Here is a 19,722-nt window from a genome sequence, read left to right as displayed (position 1 = left end):
AATGGATTGACTGGAATAACAGGGCACAGCTTGATCTAGGGGTTTAGCTGGTGTCGTTGGGACCTGGTTTCAGCACCTCTATCTCCTAGTTCTGCGTCTCTAGGTTGGCACCAATCCTCCTGGTGGCCACCTCCTTTGGCAAGTTTGGGTTTTACATCCCTGCTCTCCCGGGCTGCCAGGAAAGGTCAGGTGTGGCTCACAGAAGTGCTGGAAAAAGTCCCTGTCTCGTCACCTCTGACTGGTCGGGCCGGGATGTGACTTGGGAAACGTGGCGCCCTAGGTGGCGTGCCCGCCTCTGGCCCCTGGAGTGGCCCTTCTGGGGAAGATCAGGTCTGGGCTCCAGAAGTGGGGGTGCGTGCAGGTGGCAGACAGTGTCTCGTGGGCAGTGGGCGTGGGTTCTGCAGGCAGGTGGCAGACGGCATCTCGTGGAAAGTGGGCGCGGGTTCTGGGTTCTGCAGGCGGGTGGCAGACAGCGTCTCGTGGAAAGTGGGCGCGGGTTCTGGGTTCTGCAGGCGGGTGGCAGACAGCGTCTCGTCGGCAGTGGGCGTAGGTTCTGCAGGGGTATATGGGTGTCATTGGGCTCAGGGCCAGGAGGTGGTGACAGGCCTGGTGACCCAAGACGCCTCCTGCCCCAGGCCCGAGGCTGCCCAACTGGAATCCTGTTCCTGCCCCACTGGAATCCCATTCCTGCCTTTGCTGTTGTCTGAGATATTCCCTTGAGAGCATTTGAGATGAGCTAAAGCCTCCCGTGTGACCCTCGGGCAGGGGTTGGAGGGAGGGAGAGGCCTCCCAGCAGGGTAGAGTCGGGGCAGAGGTTTTCAGGCACACGCTTGCTCGCAGGGTCGGAGCCCAAGGCCTTGGCCTTGCCTGCCGGCCTCTGAAGCCCACGCTGAGTGAATGGCCGCTTCTCATACCAGGCCCGGCGGGGCGGCCACGTCCGCAGCACCAGGCTCATGATCTGCCTGTGGAGACCAGGCCGCATGGGCTGTGCCCTCTGTTCTCTCCCCTGGATGGGTGTGAGGATGGTGGGGAGGTGCACAGTGTGCATGAGGCACGGGTGAGGTACACAGACGAGATGTACGGGTGTGTGCGGCACAGGTGAGATGCACAGGCGAGGTGTGCAGGTGTGAGTGCAGGGCTGGCCCTTTGTGAAGGTGCCGTGAGTGCCGTGGCCAGGTGTTACCTGGCAGCAGGGTGGCAGCCTCTTGCAGAGGGCATGGGGTCGTAGACTGCGGCTGCTCCAGAGTGTGTGGCTGCTGTCTCCCTTGGGCCACGGCACCTTCCAGGTCGCGCAGGAGGCACCAGGCACGCCAGCCAGAGGGCCTCGGGCCCCAGAGCCCCGGCTGCAGGGAGGCTGCTGGGATCCCAGGGACCCAGAGGTGCTGAGTCGTATGGCCCTGTGCTCAGGGCCCACTGACACCCACCTGCTCAGGGCAGGGCTCACCCCTCCTTGAAGCCTCCCCTCTACCCTGCCCCTGCAGCCTGGTCAGTAGGCACGAAGGCCTGGCTGCTTCAGACGGCCAAGTGCCTGGGGACCAGCAGGCGGTGACTGTCTGTGCTCCAGGCTGCTGTCTCTGGGTGCTGTGCAGGGCGGGGTTCCAGGGCCCTGTGAGATGCCCTGCCTGTCTCCTTGTGTGTTCAGGGGCTCCAGGGCACCTCTCCCACAGACCTAGCTGCCCGCTGCTATTTGGAACCCTAGGTTCTGCCCTTTGCTGGATGGATGAGGGAGCAGGTGTCCATCTGGTGCTCAGGGTTAGACCTCAGGGACCCCCCGAGCCTCCCCATGGCCCCCACCCTGAGCCCATGTCTGGGTGGGTGCAGCAGCAGGAGAGGACGTGTCCTCCTGTCTGGGGCGGCCCCGTGGGCAGAGCCTCCTCCACAGGGCTCCAGCGCCAGTTGGCAGTTCCCGGGCCTCCCAACCCCTCCCAGAGTGCACTGGGGATTCCCGGCGGCGTTCCTGCCCTGCTCCCTGGCTTTGCCACCAGAGCCCTTTATCACGGCAGTGGCGACACCTCACGACCACAGGGAAATATAGAAGTCCCTGCGGCAGGGCCCGGGAGGAAGGGGAAGCTCGGGGCTTGGGAAGGGCCTGCCACACCCACAACCCCACGTTGGCCAGGTGAGGCCTGGGCCAGGTGGCTCCCGCTCTGCACAGAGGAGTGGCTGCAGGTCTGCCCTGGAATGAGCCGGAACCAAGAACTCCTAGAGGCTGTGCCACGCCCAGTGCCCACAGCCTGCACCTTGGCTGTGGGTGGAAATGGCCGGGTTGTTCTCACAGGGCGGGGGCCCCAGATGTCCTGTGTGTGGGCCACGCCACCCAGGACCATGGCTGAGGAAGGCGGAGCCCCACTCCATCCCTCTGTTAGGCCACCCAAAAGGAAGGATCACCACCGGGCTTTTCTGAAGGAGTTTTTTGTTTGTTTGTTTTTTCCTGCTCTGTTGCCCAGGCTGCGGTGCAATGGTGCGGTCTCAGCTCACCGCAATGTCCACCTCCCGGGTTCCCGCCATTCTCCTGCCTCAGCATCCTGAGTAGCTGGGACTACAGGCGCCCCCCACCACGCCCGGCTAATTTTTATATTTTTAGTAGAGACAGGATTTCATCATGTTGGCCAGGCTGGTCTGGAACTCCTGACCTCAGGTGACCCGCCCGCCTCGGCCTCCCAAAGTGCTGAGATTATAGGCGTGAGCCACCACACCTGGCCTCTGAAGGAGCTTTTAATGGCTAAAGCTGGGGGAGTAATTTGAGCAACAAAAGGAAGATGGTATAAGGGGATTATAACAGGGGAGCAAGGTACACACCCCCAAGTCCATAGACATATACATAAAGAATGGAACAAGTAAAGAGAAAGGGGAGGACCGGGCGCGGTGCCTCACGCCTGTAATCCCAGCACTTTGGGAGGCTGAGGCAGGCGGATCACGAGGTCAGGAGATCAAGACCATCCTGGCTAACACGGTGAAACCCCGTCTCTACTAAAAATACAAAAAAATTAGCTGGGTGTGGTGGCGGGCGCCTGTAGTCCCAGCTACTTGGGAGGCTGAGGCAGGAGAATGGTGTGAACCCAGGAGGTGGAGCTTGCAGTGAGTGGAGATCACGCCACTAAACTCCAGCCTGGGCGACAGAGCGAGACTCCGTCTCAAAAAAAAAAAAAAAAAAAAGGAAGGGGAGGAGGCCAGCAGCCTTTGCACACGAATTCCAGTTAATACAAAAGAAGGCCGGGCACCGGGGCTCATGCCTGTCATTGCAGCACTCTGGGAGGCCGAGGTGGGAGGGTTGCTTGAGCCAGGAGTTCAACACCAGCCTGGGCAACGTGGGGAGACTCCGTCTCAAGACAAAGTTTAATAATTAGCTGGGCATGGAGGCGCCTATGGTCCCAGCTACTCAGGACACTGAGGTGGGAGGATGGTCTGAGCCCAGGAGGTCAAGACTGCAGTGAGCTGTGATTGCACCACTGCACTCCAGTGTGGGCCACAGAGAGACCTTGTCTTAAAACATAAATAAATAGGCCTGGCGTGATAGCTCCAGCTACTCAGGAGGCTGAGACAGGAGAATAGCTTGAACCTGGGAAGCGGAGGTTGCAGGGAGCCGAGATCGCGCCATTGCACTCCAGCCTGGGCAACAGCGAGATTCCGTATCAAAATAAAATAAATGCAAGAGGAGTGAGGGAAGCGGAAACACCTCTCGAGGTGCACGTTGCAGTAACCTGTGGCAGGGAAGCCCCTCTGTGGCCGCTGTGTCTCCCCAAGATGCTCTTTGACGACAAAGGACCGGGGGAGAAGCCCTTGGTGTCGGTGCGTAGCGGAAGGTGCGTCGCTGTGGCCCCAGGTGAACCTCAGCCCGCTGAGCCAGCAGGGCTCCCCCACCCTCTGCGCCGCCTCCCTGGGCCAAGGTCACTGCGTGGGGACGCGCCGCACCCCTCCCCCAGATGTGGGGGTTTATCCTTGTGTCTGAGCCAGACTTGCCCCCCGCCTGCCCCTGGGGGTGACCCTGGTGACAGCTGCTCCCACCGCGGGCTGGCCCCGCCTCGGGCCGCAGCCTCAATGGCGGCTTTCACAGGGGCCTGGACAATGCCTCATGTTGTCCTGAGGGCCAGGCCCTGGTCTCGCTGAGACGCGGGGCTTCCTGCTCTAGGCTCCGGACCCCGTGCTCCTGTCGGAGCTTCTGTGGTTCCCCTGTGGTTCAGGACGGCCCCTCCTGGTGGTACCAGGCAGGGATGGGCCGACCGTTGCCGTAAATGTCACAGGGCAGACGGAGCCCAGGAGGGGGCTGGGGCTGTGCACGAGGTCTGGGGCCTCGGTTTCCCCGTCCATATAGTGGGGACGATGGTGTGCGGCACGAGGGCGCTACTGGGAACATCACCAGCCGTTCCTCGCAGGCAGCGCGAGGCTTTACGTGGCCCATGAGGGGACGGGTGTTTGGGGCCAGGCCAGAGCTGTGGGGCTGCCCCTCGGGGGGACGGGTGTTTGGGGCCTGGCCAGAGGTGGTAGGGCTGCCCCATTGCCCCTCTCTGGGTGGGTGTCGGCTCCTGGCCCTCCGTGGGTCCCCCGCCCCCTTCCTGGCCCTCCGTGGGACCCCCGCCCCCTTCCTGGCCCTCCGTGGGACCCCCGCCCCCTTCCTGGCCCTCCGTGGGACCCCCGCCCCCTTCCTGGCCCTCCGTGGGACCCCCGCCCCCTTCCTGGCCCTCCGTGGGACCCCCGCCCCCTTCCTGGCCCTCCGTGGGACCCCCGCCCCCTTCCTGGCCCTCCGTGGGACCCCCGCCCCCTTCCTGGCCCTCCGTGGGACCCCCGCCCCCTTCCTGGCCCTCCGTGTGATCCCCGCCCCTTTCCTGGCATGTTTGTCTTACAGGAGTCAGGGTTCGCTGTTCTTGGGCGCTGGGGCCCCTGTGTGGGGGCCTCAGGGTTTGGGGCTTGGGGAGGGGGGTACCCTGGGGCTGACTTGGCCCTGAGGGTGGCCCCTCCTGCAGCCTGGGCAGCCTGGCGGGGATGGGGGCATCCACACGTCACTCTGGGCAGGAAGGCGCTGTGGAAACTGTGAACCCGTGTGTGAGTGGGGGGGTCTCTCCAGGCCTGTCGGGGGCCGGGCCCCATGCTGGGGGCTATATGAGAATAGGAACAGGGTGAGAGCTGACCCCAGGAGCCCTCGTCCACCCTCTGGCCTCACCCCTGGGAACAGGGAAGCCTCCCTGTCCTGGCTGTTTGGAGAGAGAGCTCCACGCAGGGCGAAGCTGGGACCTGGAGCCCTCCGCAGGATACGGCCCGCTGGTTCTCAGCCTCTGCCGGCCCCAGACGCACCAACCTGGAGAAGGTGCATTAATGGGTCGGAGAGCGTGGGTGGACGGGCCAGGCAGGGAGAGACGGAGCCCTGTGCGGGCTCACAGAGGAGGCCTTCAACTCTAAGGCCTTACCCAGCAAGGAGACACTGCTCTGCCGTGGGCTCCGGTGTTTGCCTCCTGAGGGAGGGCAGGAGCCACTAGGACCCAAAGGCCGGAAGCCAGGTCCAGGCCCTTCACAGGGACGGCCGGGGTGCAGTGATCAGGGCCTCGGCCCCGTTCTCAGAGGCCACCCATCCATGGTGCACCCCTCCCTGTGGAAGGCCAGAGGCCCCATGAGATATGGGGATGCAGTTCCCACCCCAGAGGGTCCACCACCCTGTGAGCTGTCACTCAGAGCAGGGCCACGTGCTTCCCTGCCCCAGTTTACAAGACAATTAGCATATAAATCACATACGTGAGGTGTGATTTACATCTACTTTGCATATCCTATTTAGAGTGCAGTCCCAGCTCTGACAAATCCAAGACCCAGCAGTCTCGGGCCAGGCGTGGGGCTCACGCTGCAACCCCAGTATGGTGGGAGGAGAGGCAGGAGGGTCACCTGAGCTCAGAAGTTCGAGACCAGCCTGGGCAACGCAGTGAGCTCCCATCTCTACAAAAAAATACAGAACTTAGCCGGGTGTGGTGGCGTGCATCTGTGGTCCCAGCTACTCGGGAGGCCAAGGCTGGAGGATCACTTGAGCCCGGAAGGTCAAGGCTGCAGTGAGCTGTGATAGTGCCCCTGCACTCCAGCCTGGGTGGGGAAAAAAAAAAAAAAGCCTCGTAAACGGGTGTGGGCTTTATGTGAAGGCTGTTCCTGTTTCCTCGGATTTCACTTCTCTCTGAGGCACGTGATGTGCGCGCTTCACTGTGGTGGAAGAAACGGCCTGGCTGCTTTCCAGGGACTGGGGCACCTTACATCCCCACGGGCAGCGTGGAAGGGCCGGCGTCCCCGCCCACAGTCGGGCGCCTGTGTGTGCACACTGGTTTGGTTTTGCCGTTCTCGTGGGTCATGGCGATGCTGAACGTCTTTCCTGCTCTTAGCCGTGCGGTGGGCAGAAGGGCTCCTCAGAGGCGTCTGAGCAGGGCATGGGGTGTGGACTGGACCCAGCTCCCCACAGGTGGGACAAGACCTGGCACACAGTGGGACCGGCACACAGTAGGGCCTGGTGTGCAGTAGAACCCCCCCCACCCCACACCATAGGACCCGACACACAGCGGGACCAGCTCACAGCAGGGCGCGGCACGCGGTAGCTGTTTGATAAATACTGGTCGAGTCCTGCCCCAGGACTCACGAGTCCTTTAAGAGAAAATGGCCATTTCTGGCCACAGCCCACCCGGCTGTCCAGGACGCTGCCGTGTGAGGGGCTGCTCTGTGGGGAGAAGCCCCGTCTCACTGGCTGTTGCTGGTGCCGACTGGGGGCTGCAGGCCCCTGAGGTCCTGGCCCTCCCCAGCGAGGCCAAGGGGCTGGCCAGGCATGGGGAGAGCAGAGGCTCAGCCTGAGGTCTGGACTGGGCGTGGGGCGCGTCCGGGACCGTGGCCAGCGCCGTCCTGAAATACACTCCTGCGTCGTCATTGCCCCTGGAATGCGGCGTCCTGGCGCCTGCTGTCGGGAGGACCGGGGTTCCCGCTGGCGCCTGCTGTCGGGAGGACCGGGGTTCCCGCTGGCGCCTGCTGTCGGGAGGACCGGGGTTCCCGCTGGCGCCTGCTGTCGGGAGGACCGGGGTTCCCGCTGGCGCCTGCTGTCGGGAGGACCGGGGTTCCCGCTGGCGCCTGCTGTCGGGAGGTCCGGGGTTCCCGCTGGCGCCTGCTGTCGGGAGGACCGGGGTTCCCGCTGGCGCCTGCTGTCGGGAGGTCCGGGGTTCCCGCTGGCGCCTGCTGTCGGGAGGACCGGGGTTCCCGCTGGCGCCTGCTGTCGGGAGGACCGGGGTTCCCGCTGGCGTCTGGACCCCGAGAACACCGGAGCAGCTGCGCGCGTGCAGAGGGGCAGTGGCCTCCCAGACCCCGCGGCCTGCGCGCTTCCGGAGCACTGCTGTCACCTGCTGGGCGCGGCGGGCATGGCAGGGGCGCGTCCCCACCCTGTGGCCTAGGGAGCCCGGTCGCTGGAAGGGGCCCCCGCTGTGTCCTGGGCAGGGGTCTGTGGAACCGACACACTGGACCCAGCCAGCTCCACCCCCGTGGGCGAGGTGGCCCAAACTTGTCGTCTGCATTGGTGACACGGACACGCACGCCTTGGAGGCTCCCCGGGGTGCACACAAGGCCGTGAGCGGCAGAGGCCGGGAAGCGCCGCTGGGCCCGCTGCTGCGATGCCTCCCCGGGCACTTCTCGGCGTCCACCCTCAGCCACGAAGCGCCGCGTCCAAAGAGGTCCTGATGTCGGAGGCAGAGCCGTGGGGACACCCAGCTGTGCCTGGGCAGGGGCTCACTGAGTCAACAGGCGTTCTGAGCAGGCCTTACTTGGGTCTGAGGGACACTGGTGGCCTCGCTCTCACAGTGAGAAGCAGGAGAAGGGGGTTCTTCCATGGGAAGGGGGCTCCTGGCTGCTGCTGTGCGCACGGGGCTGGGGCAGCAGCCTTGTAGAGGCTTGGGGAGCGGGGAGCTCCGGGCAGTGAGGGGAGCAGGCCCCGTCTGGCACCATCCAAGACAGCCCAGGGCCCCCTCCCCGAGGGCACCAGCTGTCCCCTCCCCAACGCCAGGCGTTTTATGGCTTGCATCTCAGCAGAGAAAATAGCCCCTGGTCTCTGGTGTCGGGATGGGGCTGTCTGAGCTGGGGAGGGGATGCTGGGGAGCAGGGGGCTTTGGTGGTCAGGGCTGATGGGCGGTGTCTGCAATCTGAGCCTCTGTCTGGCCTGTTGGCTGCTGCAGGGGGCTGTTTAGCCCCGCCTGGAGCCCACAGCCCCCTCGCGTCCCTGTGGCGTAGGTCAGCAGCCCCTGCCCTCAGATGACCGGGGCTCCCAGGCCACATGGCCAGCAGGATGGGATGCTGTCCCCAAGCAAGTGCTCTCTGAAGTCACTGAGGGGTCACGGACAGGCCCACGGATGCTCAGCAGACGGCCCCACGACCCCGGGAAGGGCCCACGGACACTGGGCAGACGGCCCCGCGACCCCTGGAGGGGCCACGGATGCTCGGCAGACGGCTCCTCGGCAGACGGCCCCGCGACCTCCGGAGAGGCGGCGCCCACTGGGGATGCTTGGCAGACGGCCCCGTGATCCCAGGAGAGTCTGCACCCACTGAGGACCTGCTCGACCCTGGCCACGCAGCTGCTGCCAACGGCGGGACCTGCACGCGACCCAAGGCCTGGCAGACGGAGCCCAGGACACGGATGCTGCAAGCCACATGCTGTTGGGGCGGGACAGCCAGGGCCATAGAAGAAGCTGCATCTGAGTCCGCAGGACACAGAGTTCCAGAGCAGGAGAAAGGACGGGCAACGATAGGAACCACGGACAGGGAGCAGAAGTGGGAGCGGGGCCTGGGGGGGATGGGAACGCCCCTCTGAGTGGCCACACGTGGGTCACTGACCGCAGCTCAGTGACGTGAAGCCACACGTGTTTGTTCTCCCACAGCTCTGGCAGAGCTCCAGGACGATCCCACGGGCCCGAGACTCGGAGTGGGCAGAGCTGGTTCTGGGCTCAGGACGGGTCCTCTGGCCTCTCCCTGGTGCTCCTGGGCTCTGGGGCCCCCTCTGGCCTCAGTTTCCACGGCCACGTCCCCTTCCCTCCTGTCCTCATATCTCTGCCTCCCTCCCCTGTGATCGTCTGCCACAGCAGCGTCCTAACCACCCGTGCACGGTGTGTTTTGCCATAGAAGGTGGCGTGTCCAGGTGCTTAGGCTCCCAGGGGGATGCCCGGGCTACTTTTCTGTGGCTGTGTGTGGTGTGCGTGAGGCCACAGGCGGAGATGAGGGCTTGAGCTGGACTCCCCTCAGATGAGCTTTCCTGAAAAAAGAGGGGATGGCACCACCTGGACCCAGCAGCTGCGGACGGCTGAGGGAGGAGGGAGGAGGCCAGCCTGGTCCTCCCGGGCAGCACGAGGTTGGACCCAGCCCTGCCTCTGCCCATGGTGGCTCTGGCCATGTCCACTCAGGATGGGGAGGGTCCCTGGGGGCCAGTAAAGGACAGCTGGAGTCCCGCTCATCCAGGCCGTCCTCAGGCTGGCTTGGGCCAGGGTTGCAGCCAACAGCGCTGGTCCACTGTCATATCCCCTCACCAACCATCCACCATCACCATCTGACCCATGTCCCCCCATGTCCCCTGTCCCGTCCCCCGTGTCCCCTGTCCCCCATGTCCCCTGTCCATGTCCCCTATGTACTCTGTCCCCCATGTCCCGTCCCCGATGTCCCGTCCCCCATGTCCATGTCCCCCGTGTCCCCTGTCCATGTCCCCTTTCCCGCCCCCTTTCTCCTTTCCCTTTCTCCTTTCTCCTTTCTCCTTTCCCTTTCTCCCTTTCTCCCTTCTCCTTTCTCCTTTCTCCTTTCCCTTTCTCCTTTCCCTTTCTCCCTTTCTCCCTTCTCCTTTCTCCTTTCCCTTTCTCCTTTCTCCTTTCTCCCTTTCTCCTTTCCCTTTCTCCTTTCTCCTTTCTCCTTTCTCCTTTCCCTTTCTCCTTTCTCCTTTCTCCTTTCTCCTTTCCCTTTCTCCCTTTCTCCTTTCCCTTTCTCCTTTCTCCTTTCTCCTTTCTCCTTTCTCTTTCTCCCTTTCTCCTTTCCCTTTCTCCTTTCTCCTTTCCCTTTCTCCTTTCTCCTTTCTCCTTTCTCCTTTCCCTTTCTCCTTTCTCCCTTTCTCCTTTCTCCCTTTCTCCTTTCTCCCTTTCTCCTTTCTCCCTTTCTCCTTTCCCTTTCTCCTTTCTCCTTTCTCCTTTCTCCTTTCTCCTTTCCCTTTCTCCTTTCTCCTTTCTCCTTTCCCTTTCTCCTTTCTCCCTTTCTCCTTTCTCCCTTTCTCCTTTCTCCCTTTCTCCTTTCTCCCTTTCTCCTTTCCCTTTCTCCTTTCTCCCTTTCTCCTTTCTCCTTTCTCCTTTCCCTTTCTCCTTTCTCCTTTCCCTTTCTCCTTTCTCCTTTCTCCTTTCTCCTTTCCCTTTCTCCTTTCTCCCTTTCTCCTTTCTCCCTTTCTCCTTTCTCCCTTTCTCCTTTCTCCCTTTCTCCTTTCCCTTTCTCCTTTCTCCTTTCTCCTTTCTCCTTTCTCCCTTCTCCCTTCTCCCTTCTCCCTTCTCCCTTCTCCCTTCTCCCTTCTCCCTTCTCCCTTCTCCTTTCTCCTTTCTCCTTTCTCCTTTCTCCTTTCTCCTTTCTCCTTTCTCCCTTCTCCCTTCTCCCTTCTCCTTTCCCTTTCTCCTTTCCCTTTCTCCTTTCTCCTTTCTCCTTTCTCCTTTCTCCTTTCTCCTTTCCCTTTCTCCTTTCTCCTTTCTCCTTTCCCTTTCTCCTTTCCCTTTCTCCTTTCCCTTTCTCCTTTCTCCTTTCTCCTTTCTCCTTTCTCCTTTCTCCTTTCTCCTTTCTCCTTTCTCCTTTCTCCCTTCTCCCTTCTCCCTTCTCCCTTCTCCCTTCTCCCTTCTCCCTTCTCCCTTCTCCCTTCTCCTTTCTCCTTTCCCTTTCTCCTTTCTCCTTTCCCTTTCTCCCTTTCTCCCTTTCTCCTTTCTCCTTTCTCTTTCTCCCTTTCTCCTTTCTCCTTTCTCCTTTCTCCTTTCTCCTTTCCCTTTCCCTTTCCCTGCCCATCTTCCTATCTCCCTGTCTCCTCCATGTCCCCTCTCCCCGTCCGTCTCCCCCTGTCCGTGTCCCCCGTCCGTGTCCCCCGTGTCTTCTCCCCATGTCCCCTCTGTCCTGTCCATCGTCACTCCTTTTGTTTCCTCCCCCCCATCCACTGTCACCGACTCGTGTCCCCTTTCCCCCACAGGGTACCGTGAGGGTTTTCTCTGGAAGCGTGGCCGGGACAACGGGCAGTTTTTGAGCCGGAAGTTTGTGCTGACAGAACGAGAGGGTGCTCTGAAGTATTTCAACAGAAATGATGTGAGTCACAGACGGGGGTGGGGTGGGGGCCTGTCCCAGGGCGGCATCCCGGCCTCCCACACTGGGGCCTGTGGTGGCCGCGTCCATCCGCAGCTGCCCTCCCTGCTGCCCCCCCCGATGGGGACGCTCCAGGAGAACCGGCCTGTGTTGGGCTGAGCCTCTGTGTGCCGGACCCAGCGTCCCCCAGGGTGGGGCAGCTGAGGCTTTCCAGGAGCCTGGGCGGCCGGGCGGGGCCCCCTGAACTCAGGCCCAGCCGTGGGAGAGGGAGAACCTAGTCACTGGGCCCCTCTGGAGCCAGCCAGGACCCCAGAAAGCCCCTAGTTTTCCTGGAGGTACCCTGGGGAGACTGGACTGGGACAGGACAAACACATTGGCAAGAACAGTGGGGTCTTCACAAGGTGGCCCCAGACCCATGGGCTGATGGTCAGAAGCACCCGCCCTGAGCCGTGGCGGGCACTGGCTGGAGGTGGGCTGGTGGCTGGGGCCTGCCCCTGTGGGAGCTGCCGTGCCGTGTGGGGCCCGGGGCTGCCCCCGGGGAGGGAGGTGCAGTGTCTGATGTCAAGTGCCACCTGCACAGTGTCGTTGAGGTCCCCATCACTCCTGGGAGGGAGGTGCTGTTACCTTCTGCTTACAGACCGGGAGGCCAAGGCTCAGAGCGCTTAAGTAACTTGCCCAAAGCCACACAGCACAGCAGGTGCGCCGCCAGCACCCACAGGGTCTGCCCTTCCTGCTCCCTTGAGCTTGGACGACGGCCCCTGTGAGGTGCTTAGACCCCACCCCTTCTCAGGCCAAGGAGCCCAAGGCCGTGATGAAGATCGAGCACCTGAACGCCACCTTCCAGCCGGCCAAGATCGGCCACCCCCACGGCCTGCAGGTCACCTACCTGAAGGACAACAGCACCCGTAACATCTTCATCTACCATGAGGACGGGAAGGTGGGTGCTGGCGAGCACTCGGGCCCGGGTGGCACAGGAGGGTGGGCCCTCAGGCCCGGGTGGCGCAGGAAGGTGGGTGCTTGGACGGTACGGGAGGGTAGGCACTTGAGCTAGGCGGCATGAGAAGGCGGGAAGTCGGGCTGGGCAGCGTGGGAAGGCGGGTGCTTGGACGTGTGGGAGTGTGGGCACTGGCGCCGGGCAGCATGGGAAGACAGGTGCAGGAAGGCAGCTTCCCAGGGCCGGGCTGCCCAGGAGCCGGATCACCACGCTGTCTCTGGGGCCACCCAGCTTGGCCCTGTCAGTGGGGGCTGCCAGCTCGGGCTAGAGGATCCACCGCCCCCACAATGCCCAGAGGGGACCTCGGGGGGAACTGGGGTCCTACGGGGAGGAGATGTGGACGGTAGCCGGCTCTGGGGTGGTTTGGGTAGGGTTCCTTTGGCTGCCCTTGGTGTGGCGGCGGGGAGGGTGGGTGTACCCCGCATCTCTGGAGGGCTTGGGGGGAACCCAGGTAAAACCCCCACAAAAGCTATCCTTTTGTCTTTGGGCCAGGCTGCAGGGGGCGCAGCGGTGGGCCCAGCCTCTTTGTTACTTAGGTTCTTGTTTCTATGTTTATCACACGTCTGTGTGCACACGGTCTAAAGCGCTATATCGTTCCTAAATCTTGAGAAACAGAAGTTTGAGGTCCCTCCTAACCCCCGTTGGGAATTGGTCCCCATATCCAAAAATAAGCTGCCGGTGTCGCTGCAGATTTACCCACTTTAGGCACCATCTGACAACTTCCCACGTGGAAGTAGAGGTTCCAGCTCTTTCCATCCCCTCCCACGTGCCCGTCCCCTGCCTGCCGTGCTCCGCTGGCATCTGACCCTGGGTTTGTTAGGGGGCCGAGTCGGGTGCAGCCCCTGGCCTCAGAGCACGCTGTGATCGCTCTTCCCACAGTAAGCGGCTGTGTTCCTTGCCGCAGTTGACCATGTGTTGCCGCAGACTCTCCGCAGACTGTTGTCTCTGGAGGCAGTCGGGCACCAGGAGCCTGCGACTCCCACGGCCTGGAGATCTCGCTCCTGCAGCCTCATCTGGTTCCTGGGTGGAGCCCTGCTGCCCGGGTCCTACGTCTTTCTCGTTTACTTATTCCTCTTGGTAGAAGTGATGTGCCTGGAGGGAAAGGGGTCACCTGGCACCTTGGACTGTTCTACCTCCTGCCTGGCTTAGACTGTGGCTAGATATAGAATTCTAGGTTGGAATTAATTTTCCTGCTAATTCTGAAGGCTTTGCACCACGGATTCCTCCATCCTAGTACGTTTGTCCCGCGGTTTTGAAATTCTCCAATGCTGTGCGTGTGTTGGCAAGGGTCCCTCGTCTTTTCATGTGCTGGGTACAGGCCCAGGGTGGCCCTTCCAGTCCAGTTACTGGTTTCCATGAGGTCAGGGATTGCTTTCTTATCTAATGATTTCCTCCCTCCACTTTCCCTGTTCTCATTTTCTGAAACTCCTGTTATTGGTGCTCTTAAACTGGTTCATTTTTCTTCTACTTTCTGGGAAATTTCTTCAACTTTGTCTCCAACACTGTGTTGAGGGTTTTGTTTCTGCTGTCATGCATTTAGTTTTTCAGAGAGCCTTTGGTTCTTGGAGTATTTATTTTTCTTTCTTTCTTTTCTTTCTTTTTTTTTTTTTGAGGCAGAGTTTCGCCCTTGTCACCCAGGCTGGAGTGCAGTGGTGCAATCTCGGCTCACTGCAACCTTTGCCTCCCTGGTTCAAGTCATTCTCCTGCCTCAGCCTCCCGAGTAGCTGGGATTACAGGCATGCGCCACCACACCCAGCTAATTTTGTATTTTTAGTAGAGACGGGGTTTCTTCATGTTGGTCAGGCTGGTCTCGAGCTCCCGACCTCAGGTGATCCACCTGCCTCAGCCTCCCAAAGTGCTGGGATTACAGGTGTGAGCCACTGCGCCCAGCCGCAATTTTTGTATTTTTAGTAGAGACCGGGTTTCACCATGTTGGTCAGGCTGGTGTCCAACTCCTGATCCTCCAAAGATAATTCCCCCCGCCCAGGGCAGACGCTTGGCCCCCAGCTGTGGGAGCTGAGGGAGTTTCCGCTGCAGCCTGCAGGGTCACAGAGCTCCAGCGTGGAGTGCACCAGGCATGCCCCGTCTGCCCGGAGCCCCAGAGTCGGCTCCATCTCCTGCTGGGGGAAAAGGGGCGATTTTCCAACCAGTTCTGCTTAGAGCCCCCTGCATTTCCGGGGGACCTGGAGCTGTGAATTCCCAAGGCCTTTGGGGCAGTGTGGTGTGGACGGGTTCAGCTTCCTCTAGGAGGAGGGAGGGCGGGGCCAAATGGGACGGGGCGGGCCGGAGGAAAGGGTGGGCGGGGGAAGGAGGGGAGGCGGGGCCTCGGGCTGGTTGGGTGGCGTGGGTGTGGCTTGTGGGCGTGGCCTAGGAGGAAGGGCCACAGGAGAAAGCAGGGCTGGAGGCCGATGAGGGGCAGTCGGGGTGGGTGGGGCTTTGCTGGGTGGGGCCACTGGAAGAGGACAGGGCAATCCCACTGCTATGGGAGGAGCCTGGGGCTACACCATCCTCCAGCTGGTGCTGGGCCGGGTGCCAGCTGGAGAAGCCGTGACTGGATTGGTCCAGTGCTGGGGGCTTTGCCTGTGGGACAAAAGTCAAGGCCAAAGGGGCTGGGGAGAAGCCTGAGGAGGGATGGGGCTCCCTGGCTCTTCCTGGGCAGGAGAGGGTGCAGCCAAGAGTAAAGATGGGCACCTTTCCAGAGGTCACCAGCTCCAGGCTGTAGGCTGAACAGGAGGCCCAGGGCGCAGGTTATAATGTCATGGGGCCAAGGGTCTGGGCAGACCCCAGGAGGGGCGCTGGGTCTAGGGGCAGGGGACAGCCAGGCTGAAGTCTAGACCCAGAGGGCACCCGACGTGGGGCTGGGTGCCAGGCCTGGGCTATGGGCCCTCTGTTCCAGGGTGCTGGCCCACCCCACGCTCTCCAGAGGACCAGGGCGGCTCCCTGGAGAGCAGTTTTGCTCTCTGCCCACTCTCGGTAGGGGCCACAGCTCCAAGGGCGTTTATAAACAGATGAGCCTCCCTTCTCCCACCACCCCAAGACTTGCTTGAGCTACAAAATAAGGATCTTCATAAAAATAGCACCATCTGAAAGGAAGGCAAGTTGGCCCAGGCCCCAGCAGCACCAGGGCCACAGAGTGAGCTTGGATGGCAGCCCCCGACCCTGTCCAGCCCGGCCCGGCCCGGCCCTTCGGCCCTTCGGCCCTTCTCAGGACTTCGCCGGGGGAGGCTGCACCTGCCCTCCCGCAGAGGGGCAGCCCCTGTGTAGCAGCCCCGGCCTCAGCGTGGGCACAGGGGCCAGGCCTGCGGCAGGACTGCTGGGAGCTGAGGTGCCGGGGAGGAGGAAGGGGCTGGGCTCTGGGGGAAGCGGCCCCTCTGTGGGGACCCCAGCCCCTCTGTGGGGACCCCAGCGCTGCAGCCTCCTCAGCCCAAGCCTGTGCCCACCTTTGCCCCTAGGAGATTGTGGACTGGTTCAATGCACTCCGAGCTGCTCGCTTCCACTACCTGCAGGTGGCATTCCCAGGGGCCGGCGACGCAGATGTGAGTGGCGGCCCTGCGGTCAGCTCCAGGGCAGACAGGGGTGGTGGGGTGGGGGGTGGACGGAGCCCTCGTGCCCTGAGTCTGGGATGATGTTGAGCCCTAGGGTGGGCCTGGGACTGGCCAAGGGCTCACCCTGACGTGCCTGCAGCCCTCCTGCCTCACTCTAGAACTTCAGCTCAGCCAAAGGGGAAAGCGGGGAGGGAAGGGGTGGCAAGCAGAGGCAGAAATGTGGATCCTGCGGAGGCTAAGCCAGGCCTGGGCCCTGACCTGGTGGCCCGGGGTGAGGGGAGCACAGAGGGGCACAGCCAGGGAGGGGCTCGGCCTGAGCTGCACTTCTGAGGTCCCCTGCCTGGTGTGTCCTGCCCTAGCTGGTGCCAAAGCTCTCCAGGAACTACCTGAAGGAAGGCTACATGGAGAAGACGGGGCCCAAGGTGGGTGTGCCGCACGTGCGGCCTGGGGTGGCCTGGGGTACGCCATGGTGGGTCTCGGACTGAAGTGCAGCAGCCTTGCCAGCTGCCGCCTGTGTTTTAAACTGGTGTCTGGTGGGTCCTCACAGCCCCTTGTCTGTGCCTGGCCGGGGTCCCCGAGGACTCGGGCCACTGTCCTAGGCTTTGGTTAGACCCTCCCTGCCCGCTCACGTCTGACCAGCTTCCTCACCCACGGGACCGTGCACCTGCGCGGCCAGGGGCCCACATCTTGCCATTCCCTGAGGCATAATGTGGGAGGGAGACACAAATCCTGGGAGTCTTGGTGGTCCCGGAGGAGAAGTGCAGGTGTGAGGGCTCGTAAGTGAGGCCTGGGCCCCCATCTGGGGCCCAGGGAGGGCTGGGGGACCTGGAGGAGCAGGAGGGAGGTGCCGTGTGGAGGCTGGAGGACAGGCGTGTGCGGAGGCCTCGTGGGGCGTGGCCAGCGGCAGGCGTGAGTGAATGGAGGTGACTGACCCGGGCCAGTCTGGGCCCTGCCCTCCGGGGTGTGCTGTGGTCAGCTGGATGTAGGGCCTGCCTCGGCGACCTGCCGGTCACGGGCCCTCTCTGACCCACAGCAAACGGAAGGCTTCCGGAAGCGCTGGTTCACCATGGATGACCGCAGGCTCATGTACTTCAAAGACCCCCTGGTAAGGAGGAGCTGTGGCCCCAGCACGGGAGGGCAGCTCACTGGCTGGGGTTGCCAGATGCGTGACCAGGAGGGCGGGTGGCCTCCCGAGTCCTGGCCTGAGTGAAGCGGGGCTGGAAGGGACATGGCCCCGCCTCCAGTGCGGTCCCCACCCACAGGACGCCTTCGCCCGAGGGGAAGTCTTCATTGGCAGCAAGGAGAGTGGCTACACGGTGCTGCATGGGTTCCCGCCGTCCACCCAGGGCCACCACTGGCCACATGGCATCACCATCGTCACGCCCGACCGCAAGTTTCTGTTTGCCTGCGAGACGGAGTCCGACCAGAGGGAGTGGGTGGCGGCCTTCCAGAAGGCGGTGGACAGGCCCATGCTGCCCCAGGAGTACGCAGGTGAGGGGGGCGGGCGGCCGGCGGCCTGGAAGGGCTCCCAGCTCCCCGCCGCTGTGACAACGCTGGACCCTGTTCCGTTGCAGTGGAGGCGCACTTCAAGCATAAACCTTAGCGAGTGCGGCTGGAGGACCACGGACATTGGACTCACTGTGGCTGGACGGAGGGGACCCGTGGATGGGGGGGCTCTGGCGTCCTGAGGCCACCTGGCCCCACCTGCTCCTCAGGGCAGCCCGGCGCGGCCAGGTAGGGCCCGAGCTTCAGCTTCCAGGATGCTTCTCTGGAACCTCAAGGCAGGCAGCCCAGGCCCTGGGCCTGATCTCTAACCCCGTCATGCTGCTGCTGACCACACCCAGCCAACCTGCCCCTCCCTGACCCGGGGCCCCCTTTCCTCCAGGGCCCAGTCTGGCTCCCGAGCTCAGACACAGCCCCCAGGAGCCGCCCACCACGGCTGTGGGAACTTCCAGGCCTCAGCGCAGAGCCCTGCTTGGGGCCAGCACGGTGGGCAGCTGCCGGCCGCTGGGGACTGGGCCCTGCTCGCATGCCGCCCCGCCCTCCCCCCACCTCCACGACTATTTATTGAGCGCCTGTTGTGTGTCACGGGGCTATGAGGGCCGTGGGGTGTTTGGGTGGATTATCCACACAGGTCCCGGCCCCTGCCCGGGCTGGAGTTGCCACAGCCTGTGCTCCTGGTCCTCACCTGGAGGGGCCAGCAGGCTGCCGTCCCACCACACGTGGCCTCTGCGCCCAGCACGGTGCTCGCCGACAGTGGTGTCTGAACCCTTGGGGACGAGGGCCTGGGCCGCGGTGAGGCCACCAGAGGCAGGAGTGGCCCTGGGGGTCCCGGGCACTGTCGCGCTTGCTGCAGGCGGCCCAGCCGTGTATTTATTTTTCACCTATCTCCTTCCTGTCAAGGCAGGCCGGGCTCCAGGGCTCCCCTTGCGTGGGGCATGTAGGTGGGGGAGGCGTCTGCAGGTCACCTGGGGGGCCCAGCCCTCTCCCAGCCTTGCCTGGCTGAGCTGTGTTCCAGGGGAGCCCTGGACAAGCCCTCATAGGCAGGGAGGGGGTTTCCGAGGCCAGGCATCCGCCGCCCCGTGTCGCATCCTGGAATAAAATGTGGCTCTGGCATGGTTCCAGCTGTGTGTCCGAGGATGGAGTGGGGAGGAAGTTGGGCTGGGAACACGTGGCCCTGCCTCCCTGGCTTCAGGAGAATCTTCGTCTGCTCCCAGGGACCTGACAGGGCCCTCGCTCCCTGAGGTTTGGAGGGAGGACACGGTGTCTGAGCTAGTCACAGCGCCATGCTCCTTGTACACGGGAGACGGTCCCTACCCGAGGTGCCCCCCAGCACCCCTTCCCCAGGTGCCCCCCTTCCCCAGGTGCCCCCTCCATCTGAGGCCCGCCAGGCAGTTCCTGGGCAGAGTCCACAGCCTGAAAGCCAAGCCAAGCTCAGCATGAAGGACAGTGTGGGGGATGCATCCCGGGTCGGGGGTCCCCTGTGCCTGCCAGCCCACCCCCCCAATGCTGGGCCCCTCAGCCCTCACACAGAACATGCTGAATCCCACTTCTCCAATGAGGAGCTGGGACTCTAGGGCGGAGTAGAGGTCTCCCAATCCCAGCCTAGGGGTCCCCAAGGCAGCTGTGCTGGTGACGAGGATGTGGGCGAGGTACCCCCACTTGGAGCTGAAACCCCAGGCAAGTGCCCCGCAACCTCACCAGGTGCCACGGTCCTAACCCGAGGTGAGAGGAGTGGGCCTGGGTCAGGGAGAGCCCTGGGCTGTGCTGGACACACCCCCGGGGGAAACCAGCAGTGCCCACAGCCCTCCCCATGGCGTGGAAGTGTGGGCACGTGCTCAGTGTGTGCGTGTCCCCGAATGTGCACGTGTCCACGTGTGTGCTGAGGACACTGACGACTGTCACATTTTAAAAACCACAGAACAACTTTCTAATGGGGGGAAAGAATTTTTTGAACCAGGGGAGGTGGCGCAGGCACAGAAGGTGGTCGCTCACTCGCTGTCCACACCTCCCCGCGTGGACACAGCTGTGGGGAAGGGCATCCCCTTGCTGGCAGCAGGCACAGGGACGGACCGTGACTCCGCCGCGAAGTCCTGAGGCAGGCAGAGGCAGACGCCGCGGCGCAGGCTCAGCACGGGCCACGAGGGGCCGCCTGCGGGGCTCCGGCCGGCTGTTCCTGCCGTCTCACGGTAAGCCCGAGTGACGCCGCACACAAAATCCTTGGTCACTCCGGATCGAACTCGCTGCTCAAAGCAAGTGCCACACGGGAGGGACGGGTGTCCTGTCAGCACCTAGGACAGGGTCAGGGCTCTGCGCCACTGTCTCCCCTGCAGCCCAAGGGCCTGCTCTTTGAGGCTGTGACACCCAGACCTGGTGGATTTGATTTTTATG

General features: G+C 62.8%; 1 protein-coding gene across 5 annotated transcripts in view, besides 6 other annotated features; it reads left to right on the top strand.

Moving 5' to 3' along the window:
• Positions 1-18,455, top strand: part of ADAP1 (ArfGAP with dual PH domains 1) — a 57,508-nt gene extending 39,053 nt beyond the window's left edge. For all 5 annotated transcript variants that reach the window (NM_001284308.2, NM_006869.4, NM_001284309.2 and 2 more), the window contains 7 exons: positions 11,183-11,295; positions 12,083-12,229; positions 15,739-15,822; positions 16,191-16,253; positions 16,865-16,936; positions 17,094-17,322; positions 17,406-18,455. In NM_001284308.2, coding sequence (NP_001271237.2) covers positions 11,183-11,295; positions 12,083-12,229; positions 15,739-15,822; positions 16,191-16,253; positions 16,865-16,936; positions 17,094-17,322; positions 17,406-17,434 — 737 coding nt within the window. In that variant the 3' untranslated portion in view covers positions 17,435-18,455. The remainder of the gene's footprint in view (positions 1-11,182; positions 11,296-12,082; positions 12,230-15,738; positions 15,823-16,190; positions 16,254-16,864; positions 16,937-17,093; positions 17,323-17,405) is intronic.
• Positions 7,221-7,440: a silencer, noted in NCBI's record as "silent region_17826". NCBI's record gives its function as "represses an Ori minimal core promoter by ATAC-STARR-seq in GM12878 lymphoblastoid cells {active_cell/tissue: GM12878}" and the evidence as "EXISTENCE:reporter gene assay evidence [ECO:0000049][PMID:35858748]".
• Positions 7,955-8,653: an enhancer, noted in NCBI's record as "H3K4me1 hESC enhancer chr7:947339-948037 (GRCh37/hg19 assembly coordinates)". NCBI's record gives its function as "activates a minimal SCP1, AML or CMV promoter by ChIP-STARR-seq in naive H9 embryonic stem cells {active_cell/tissue: H9 hESC(naive)}" and the evidence as "EXISTENCE:reporter gene assay evidence [ECO:0000049][PMID:30033119]".
• Positions 14,289-14,348: an enhancer, noted in NCBI's record as "active region_25477". NCBI's record gives its function as "activates an Ori minimal core promoter by ATAC-STARR-seq in GM12878 lymphoblastoid cells {active_cell/tissue: GM12878}" and the evidence as "EXISTENCE:reporter gene assay evidence [ECO:0000049][PMID:35858748]".
• Positions 14,709-14,778: a silencer, noted in NCBI's record as "silent region_17825". NCBI's record gives its function as "represses an Ori minimal core promoter by ATAC-STARR-seq in GM12878 lymphoblastoid cells {active_cell/tissue: GM12878}" and the evidence as "EXISTENCE:reporter gene assay evidence [ECO:0000049][PMID:35858748]".
• Positions 16,407-16,993: an enhancer, noted in NCBI's record as "H3K27ac-H3K4me1 hESC enhancer chr7:938999-939585 (GRCh37/hg19 assembly coordinates)". NCBI's record gives its function as "activates a minimal SCP1, AML or CMV promoter by ChIP-STARR-seq in primed H9 embryonic stem cells {active_cell/tissue: H9 hESC(primed)}" and the evidence as "EXISTENCE:reporter gene assay evidence [ECO:0000049][PMID:30033119]".
• Positions 16,994-17,581: an enhancer, noted in NCBI's record as "H3K27ac-H3K4me1 hESC enhancer chr7:938411-938998 (GRCh37/hg19 assembly coordinates)". NCBI's record gives its function as "activates a minimal SCP1, AML or CMV promoter by ChIP-STARR-seq in primed H9 embryonic stem cells {active_cell/tissue: H9 hESC(primed)}" and the evidence as "EXISTENCE:reporter gene assay evidence [ECO:0000049][PMID:30033119]".
• Positions 18,456-19,722: the final 1,267 nt, after the last annotated feature.

The sequence above is a fragment of the Homo sapiens genome, chromosome 7, assembly GCF_000001405.40.
Source record: "Homo sapiens chromosome 7, GRCh38.p14 Primary Assembly".
Lineage (NCBI taxonomy): Eukaryota > Metazoa > Chordata > Mammalia > Primates > Hominidae > Homo > Homo sapiens.
The sequence above is the reverse complement of the archived record's forward strand: the minus strand, read 5'-3'. Positions and strand labels throughout refer to the sequence as shown.